Source organism: Homo sapiens (genome assembly GCF_000001405.40).
Source record: "Homo sapiens chromosome 14 unlocalized genomic scaffold, GRCh38.p14 Primary Assembly HSCHR14_CTG6_UNLOCALIZED".
NCBI lineage: Eukaryota > Metazoa > Chordata > Mammalia > Primates > Hominidae > Homo > Homo sapiens.
The window spans coordinates 30,392-39,498 of NT_187379.1; the positions used below are offsets into that span (position 1 = coordinate 30,392).

At 40.1% G+C, this 9,107-nt stretch overlaps 1 pseudogene; it reads left to right on the forward strand.

The window, feature by feature from the left end:
* Nucleotides 1-689: 689 nt before the first annotated feature.
* On the forward strand, nt 690-1,579 carry LOC102723333 (retinoic acid receptor responder protein 2-like; annotated as a pseudogene).
* The last annotated feature ends 7,528 nt before the right edge of the window (nt 1,580-9,107 follow it).

Genomic DNA, 9,107 nt, shown 5'->3' on the forward strand with positions numbered 1-9,107 from the left:
GTTGTTCTACATTTTTAATAAAATGGCATTAAAATTTTGATAGAAGTTTAACTCTGTAGATCACTTTGTGTAATATGGATATTTTAATAATATTAATTTTTAGAATCCATGAACACATAATATATTTCCCATTTTGTATTTTTCATTTTCTTTCCTCAACATTTTATAGTTTTCAGCCTGCAGATCTTTCATATTCTTTGTTAACTCATTCTTAAGTATTTCATTCTATTTGATAATATTGTAAATGGAACTATCTTTATTTCTGTTTCAGATATTTTGCTGTTACTGTAAAAAAATGCCACTGATGTTCATATGTTAATATTGTATCCTGAAAATTTACTGACTTAGTTGTTTAGTTATAACAGGTTTTTTTTCTGGTAAAATGGTGGGTATTCTGAATTCTGGTTAAATTGATAGTTGCTATTATCATTTCAAAATTATTTAAAATATGACCAGATGGATTCCTGCTTTCATGAATTCAAAGGAATTCACATCTTCCCATTTGAAATAATTTTGTCTGGTTGACCTAGGCCCCGGGGATCGGGGGCACCCCTTGAGAGCCCGGAGATTCGCTTGGGGGTGGGAGAGAGAAGCCGTCAGAGAAGGGGCTGAGCTGAGGAAGCGGAGAGGGGCTCCGGAGACAGCCGGGAGGAAAGAAGGTCCTGTCAGAGACCCAGTGGGGAGAGAGAATGGGCCAGAAAACCAGGAAGGGTGAGAGTGAGCAACAGGACGGCTTCCCGGCGCGGTAGGGAACTTTGCTGAAACTGCGTGCCCCAGGGAACAGCACGGGCAGGTGGGAGGGAGTGGAGAAGACCCAGTACACCCCAAGGTCAGTGTGGAGAAAGGGACATTTCCCGGTTCCTTCGCCTCTGCCCAGCGTTCTGCGGGCATGGCCCCCACAGGGGCAGGGCAGGGGAGGAGGTGGCTCCTGGCAGGCTCGGAGAACTAAGGGGCGCACACCAGCTTCGCAGGGCCAGGGTGACAGGGGAAGCCTGAGATGGCTGCGGATCTTGCTGGCCCAGTGGGTGGGCGCGGGGAATGCGGGAGGGGCCGAGCTCACCGGGCCAGCGCCGGGGCCTGCAGGTGGCCCTGGAGGAATCTGCAAGCACCCACCCGTGCAGCAGGCCTTCCGGGAGACCAGTGTGGACAGCGCCCTGGTCACGCCCTTCCCATCTGGAACATTTGTGAGGCTGGAATTTAAGCTCCGGCAGACAGAGAAGTGGCTGGAAGGACTGGAAGAAAGCCAAGTGCAAAGTCCAGCCTGAGAGGAGGAAGCAGAAATGGCTGACCTGCGTCAAACTGGAATGTGAGGATAAGGTTCTGGGCAGGATGGTTCGCTGCCCTCCAGAGACACAGACTCGGCGGGAGCCTGAGGAGCACCAGGAGGTCGGGAGCAGCTGGGCAGAGCGGGCGGTGAAGACCCCACAGCTGCTGCTTCCCTGCACAGTTCGCCTTCTCCAAGGCCCAGCCCCCAGCGGAGCCCAGTACTGAATCTCATGACGCCCCCTGGAGCCCTGGTGGGGATAACCAGTGGAAGACCCACCTCCCAGGGAGAGGACCCCACTGTATCCCCAGATAATAAAACTGTTCTCTCCCCCCCAAAAAATAAGTAAATAATTTTGTCTGGTCTTTGAAAATGTGTATCCTCTGTGTTCTGGTCCAAATCCTGCCCATTTATCTATATGCCTAATTAGTCCAACTTTTTAATGAAGTTATTTAGCATTCTTTTTAATTATGAAACAAAGCAGTAAATTTGTTAATGGTTTTAATATCATCTAATATGATTGAAAATATGTCAATTTGTCATTGTCAATGAATCTTTGTGTTATTTATTTTACTCTGTTACATATTCTGTACATAAAGGTCTAAGTGGCTTAGAATCTTGCCTAACATATTTTATGTGCTAAGTACTAACTACTCTAATTCATCAAATTATCTTTCTATACCATTCTTAAAATACAATATTATTTTTTATTTATTTTTGTTAAAATTTTTTTGCCTAATCTAATTATTTATGAAAATTATGAGGTCTATTCAGTTTGTCCTCTTGATAAAAGCCAAAGTTTTTTTTTTCTCTCTTTTTTTTTGAGACGGAGTCTCTCTGTTTCCCAGGCTGGAGTGCAGTGACACAATCTCGGCTCACCACAACCTCCGCTTCCCGGGTTCAGGTGATTCTCCTGCCTTAGTCTCCTGAGTAGCTGGGACTACAGGCATGCTCCACCATGCCCGGCTAATTTTTGTATTTTTAGAAGAGACAGGGTTTCACTATATTGGCCAGGCTGGTCTTGAACTCCTGACAACGTGATCCGCCCACCTAGCCTCCCAAAGTGCTGGGATTATAGGCTTGAGCCACCACGCCAGGACTCTTTTTCTAAATCTCTTTATTAATACGTTAGAGAGTACAAATGCAGCTCCCTTACAGATGCATGTTGCATAGGGATGAAGTATGGGCTTTTGGTGTGACAATCATCTGAATGTTGTTTATTGTCCCCATTAGTTATTTTCTCATTCCTAAACCCTCTCCAACCTCCCATCTTTCTGAGTCTCCAGTGTCTATTTTTCCAGTCTCTATATCCAAGTGTATGCATAATTGAGTTCACACTTGCAAGTGAGAAAATACAGATTAGATTTTCTGTTTCTGAGTTTTTTCACTTACAATAATGGCCTCTGGTTTTATTCATGTTGTTGCAAAAGACATGATTTTATTCTTCTTCATGGTTGAGTAGCATTCCTTGGTATACTTGTATAGCACATTTTCTTCATTCGATTATTGATTGATAAATTTAAATTGATTTCATGTATTGGCTATTGTGAATAGTGTTGTGATAAACATGTGAGCATGGGTATTTTCTTTATGTAACAAATTATTTTCCCCTGGGTAGATACCAAGTAGTGGGAATGCTGAATCAAATGGAAGTTCTATTTTTAGTCTATTTTGAAATCTCCATACTGTTTTCCATAGAGATTGTAGAAAGTTACTTTCCCACAAACAATGTATAAATGTTATCTTTTCTCTGTATCCTTGCCGATAGCTCATTTTTCTTCTTTTTAGTAATAGCCATTCGGCATGGTGTAAGTTGGTATCTCATTGTGGTTTTTAATTGGCATTTCTCTGATCATTGACAATGTTGAGCACCTTTTACGTGCTTGTTGACCATTGACCATCAGTGTCTTTTTTTTTAATGTTCATGTTCTTTGCTTGCTTTTTAATGAGGTTACTTGTTTTATTTTTGTTGAGCTGTTTGAGTTCCTTGTATATTCTGGACATTAGATCTTTGTCACATGCGAAACTTGTAAACGTTTATCTTATTTCATAGGTTTTCTTTTCACTGTGTTAATTAAAAAGCTCATTTTCAGGAGCTTTTTAGTTTGAGTTCCTTTTGTCTATTTTTGTTATTGTTACATCTGCTTTTGAGATCTTAGTAATAAATTCTTTGTTCAAGTCAATGTCTAGAAGAGTTTATCCTAGAGTTTCTTCTAGCATGTTTATAGTTTCAGGTCTTGCATTTTAGTTTTTTAACACATATTGAGTTGATTTTTGTATATGGTGGAACATGGGGGTCCCATTCCGTACTTCTGCATATGGCAATATAATTTTTCCAGCACAATTTATTGAATAAGATGTCATTTCTCCAGTGTATGTTTTTGTTGACTTTGTAAAAGATCAGTTGTTTGTAGGTATGTGGCTTTATTTCTAGGTTCTCTATTCTGTACCATTGATCTTTGTGTCAATTTATATCAGTACCATGCTGTTTTGGTTACTACAGCCTTCTAGCATAATTTTAAGTCAGATAATGTAATATCTCCAGCTTTATTCTCTTTGCTTAGATTTACTTTGGCTATTTAGGCTCTTTTTGTGGTTCCATGTTAATTTTAGTGGTTTTTTTTTTTCTAATTTTATAAAAAATAACATTGGCATTTTGGTAAGAATTGCATTTAATATGTAGATTGCTTTGGGCAGTAGAGTCATTTTAACGATCATAATTCTTCCAATCCATGAGCATGGGATGTTTTTCTCATTTGTGTCATGTACAACTTCTTTCATCAGTGTTTTGTAGTTTTCCTTGTAGGGATCGTTCATCTCTTTGACTAATTGTATTTCTAAGCATTTTACCTTTTTTGTAGCTATTGTAAAAGGAAGTGACTTTTTAATTCAGTTCTCAGCTTGATCATCATTAGTGTATAAAAACGCTACCAATTTTTGTACATTGATTTTTGCATCCTGAAACGTTATTAAATTTATTTATCGAATCTAAGAGTTTTTTTGGCGGTCTTTAGAATTTTTATATATATGATATTATATAATCATGAAAGAGGGACAATTTGACTTTCTAATTATAACTACATAGATGCTCCCACCAAGACCAATAGACAGAGTATCTGGGGAGGGCACAGGTGATGGTATTTCTTTAAGCTGGCCATGTGATTATGGCTGGAAGCATGGGCCAGTGGCGCCATCTTGGCCCATGGCAACCTCCACCTCCCAGGTTCGAGTGATTCTGCAGTCTCAGCCACCCGAGTAGCTAGGATTATAGGCACCAGCCACCACACCTGGCTAATTTTTGTATGTTTTAGTAGAGACATGATTTGGCCATGTTACCCAGGCTGGTCTTGAAGTCCTGACCTCAGGTGATCTGCCCACTTCAGCCTCCCAAAGTGTTGGGATTACAGGCATGAGTCACTGTGCCCAACTCTCAAGTTTCAATGTGCCTATGAATTATTTCTGATTCCAGGCTCTCTCTTAGTGATGTGATTCTGCAGGTTTGGAAGGGGCCCATGAATTGGCTTCTTTAAAAAGTCTCCTCTTAATGCTGATGTTTCTTCCACTACATCCAATATAGTAGCACTCAGCTAGAGAAAGTAGGCACAGCACAGAGCTCCTGACACCCAACGATGTTACCACAACACAAATACTTTTGGCTCAAAGTGGAAGCCACCAGTCACCATTTTCAAACATGTCATTTTCTGCTGGCTCTTTACAGTTTAGAGAGCCTAGAGAAGGCATCAATGTTTGAGTAAGTCTGCATTTGGAAAACATGTACACATGAGTTAATACAATGTTTACTGAGCACATATTATGTGTTCAGAAGTCTGTTACAGAGCAATGTTCAGGAAACTTAACATGATGTGAGTTAATCCTCATAGCACCCTGGGGGTTGGGTGCTAAGTTTTCTGTAATTTTCAGGATTTAAATGAAGGGCCTAGCGTTTCTATTTTTTCTTCCATTTTAAAAATTATTTACCTGGAAAATAAAATGTGCAGAATAAAAGCTATATCGACAGATGAGAGGGATGGAGAAAAAAGGGTGAACTGTTCAGAGAGATGTTTTATATTTATATTTACCTTTTTGTGCCTTGTGGAGCAGCTACTAAATTTGCAGGAGAGGAAAACAAGTTGCTAGGTGGGGTGTCTCTAGAAGCACTGGCTTCAATGAAAAAGAAATTACAGCCCCCAAATATAGAATTATTTGCTTCCATTTATCTGCTTTTCCATTTTAGGAAATTGTGGGTACCAGCTCAGGAGAGGTAGCAGGAGCCCCCACCTGAATTTCTGGTCTCCTTTAATCAGTTCTGTGAGAGAAGATTCTAGGGTGAGACCAGACCTGGATGAGGCCATAGAAGAGGGTGGATCTGGGCAGGGCTGGAACAGAAAGTGGACCCCATGTTTCTGATGTTCATGCTGGTGGAGTATTTCCAGTTCTGTCTTTCGTAAGCCTGCCCAACAGAGACTTAACTCTTAGAGCTTATGTAATTTTAATATGTTTTAGCCACTTTCCTGTCAATTTTTATAACACATGATCACAAGAAACTTAAGCAAAACTCTTAGGGTTTTCAGGACAATTATATGAGAAGCTAAAAACTTATTTTTACCAAGATAAAAGAAATAGAAATAATCACAACAATAACAATAATTCTTCTGTCCATGAATAGCCCTTCAGGTGGTGACATCGGAACCCAAGGAACAGCATAAAGGAAGTGGAGCAAATGCAGCCAAGGCCCCCTGTGCAGCTCCCTTCTCCCTTCCGACTACAGGATGATGAATTCAGCCATTAATCCATTTCCCTTCCAACCACAGGATGCTGAATTCAGCCATTAATCCGTTTGCTCTAGATGAAAATTTTCTGGACAGTAGAAACCGTGAATTCTTCATCTGTTTTTCTGATGGTCATGTGATGTAGATTAGATGTCCCCTCCAAATCTCATATTGAATTTTAATCCCCAGTGTGGCAGGTGGGGCCTGTGGAGGAGGTGGTTGAATCACCAGGTGAATCCCTCATGGCTCTGTGCCATCCTTGAGATAGTGAGTACTAGCGATATATGGTTGTTTAGAAGTGTGGCCCATCCCTTCCTCATCTTTCTTGTTTCTGCTTCTACCATGTGAGATGCCTGCTTCTCTTTCACCATGATTGTAAGCTTCTCCAGGCCTTCCCAGAAGCAGACGCTGGTGCTATGCTTCCTGTACAGCCTGCAGACTCTTTTCTTATAAATTACCCAGTCTCAGATTTTTTAAATAGCAATGCAAGAATAACTTAATACATCATATGAAAAGAAAGCAATTGATATATTTACCAGTTTGATTATTTACCAGTTTGAGTCTCCAGACCTCTGCCTTACTTCAACTCAAAGAACAGGAAGGGAGCAACCCCCATCTACTGCTCCTGATCATGGGAGAATCTTCAGCTCATCTTAAAATGTTTCAGTCAAAAGCCTCGTGTTTCACGTAGAAGAAGGAGGGTGTCTGAAAGAATGGGTCTCTTTATTTACTTTTATTTCTGTGACAGGTTCTCTTTCCCTGTCATTATGGCTGGGGTGCAGTGGCTTACTGCATCTTTGACATTCTGTGCTCCAGCGATTCTCCCACCTCCGGCTCCCAAGTAGCTGGGACCACAGGTGCACACTACCACAACCAGATAATATTTGTATTTTTGGCAGAGATGAGGTTTTGTTATATTGAGCAGGCTGGTCTTGAACTCCTGAGCTCAAGTGACCCTCCAGCATCTGCCTTTCAAAGTGCTGGAATTACAGGTGTGAGCCACCACACTGGGCAGATGGGTCTTAACTGATTTTAATCAAGGTACCTAAGCATGGAAGACATGCCCTTAATTATTTTCCTAATACAATATTTGACAGTTATATAACTACGATTTTTTTTTTATTCCTGTGATTCATAAGGGTATGATAGTAAAAGGCCTTGAAAGTCTGTAGGAAAAAAGTGCTATATTGTGCTTGAAACCACCTTTTACTCTGAAAGCAAGTGCCATCCAGGTACATCTGTTGAGAATATATTTTCTCCTGTTGCATTTTAGCCAAACAGCTGAGTGTGTCTTGAAATTGTTTTTTTGATTTTTAACAGGACAAGTGTATTTTCTAAGACCCCAAACTCAGGAGTGGCCATGGGGCAAATCACAGCTGCACACAGAAGGCATGAGCAGCAAATGAATTTCTCACCCTGAACCAGGGGTTTTTCCCCTGGGTGCACATGAGAATCACCAGAGAGGCTTTTAAAATTACCTAAACTCAAAAGGCAATAGATAAATGAATTCAGAATCCCTGCAGTGGGACCTGAGCCACAGTGCTGTTTACAGCTCTCTGGGTGACTATGGGGTACAATCAAGCCCCCAAACTGCTGCTTTAAATCAGCCTCTTCCAGTGAACTAGTGGCAGATGGTTTCCTGAAATGAACGGTTTAAATCAGCCTCTTCCAGTGAACTAGTGGCAAATGGTTTCCTGAAATGAATGGTTTAAATCAGCCTCTTCCAGTGAACTAGTGGCAAATGGGTTCCTGAAATAAATAGAAAGATTTGCTCGTGGGTTGTGGTCTTCTGATCTTACCTGCATTACCTACTTTTCTTTGCCGAACTGACCTCTGCTACACATTTTATTCCTGATTCAATCCAGTTCTACTCATACCAAATGCATATTATGCACTAGGTGCCCTTGCATTGCTGAACCTCACTGTGGGGAGAGGACTTTGCTGAATAATAATTGCATCCTAAAAAAACTCAAAATACTGGACTCGAATGATCCTCCTGCCTTGGACTTCCAAAGAGCTGAGACTGTAGGCATGAGCCACCATGCTTGGCCTATACCCTAAAAAATTAAAACTATCTTACTTACTAAATTGATGTAAATATGAGAAGACCTAGAAGTTCACCAAAGTGTTAGAACATAAGTAAATACCTTGGAATATTAATATCCATCTGATGATGCCCTGAGCAAACATGTCCCACTTTAAAACAGTACAAAACAGTGCTATTATTCTGAGATATGATGTTAAAATTTTGTGCAAATAGGTAATATTTAATTTTTTATATATGTATAACGTTCATGCAGAAAGATGTGTACAAACAAATCATGTAAAGTTCAAAGAATTATTACAAAGTGAACACACGTGTGTAACCTAGAAATAGAACCAGCTTCACTGATGCTCTGGCAACCACTTTCTCTCTTTTTGCTCCCCCAAAGTCACTAAGATCTTAAGAGCTAACATTGTAAATCAACTTTGTATTATTATACATGTTTTATTACAGAAAATTTAAAACATACACAAAATAAAAGAAACAGTACAATAGGCCTGTTACCCAGGCTCAACAACAACTAATAACATGCCAATTTTATGTTATCTATACTTCAACTCATTTCTCACACAGACTTTATTATTTATTATTATTTTTTCTGATATAAAATGTGTGCTCATTGAAGGTAAAATCTTGGCTGAGCAAAATGGCTTAAGCCTGTGTAATCCCATCACTTTGGAATGTCAAGAGGGGAGGATCATTTGAGGTCAGGAGTTTGAGAGCAGCCTGGTCAGCATAGTGAGACCACATTTTTATTATTTTTTTTTAAATTAATCAGGCGCGGTGGTGCACGCCTATAGTTCCAGCTACTTGGGATGTTGACATAGCAGGATCCCTTGATTCTAGGAGTTTGAGGCTACAGTGAGTTGTGATTGTGCCACCTCACATCAGCCTGGGTGACAGAGTGAGACTCTGTCTCAAAAAAATAAATAAATAAAAGTTTGAACTTAACTAGCTTTTTACACATAAACACACCCATACAAACAATCCCTCTTTTAACAATAGAAGTATCAAATTAAAAATCATTAAT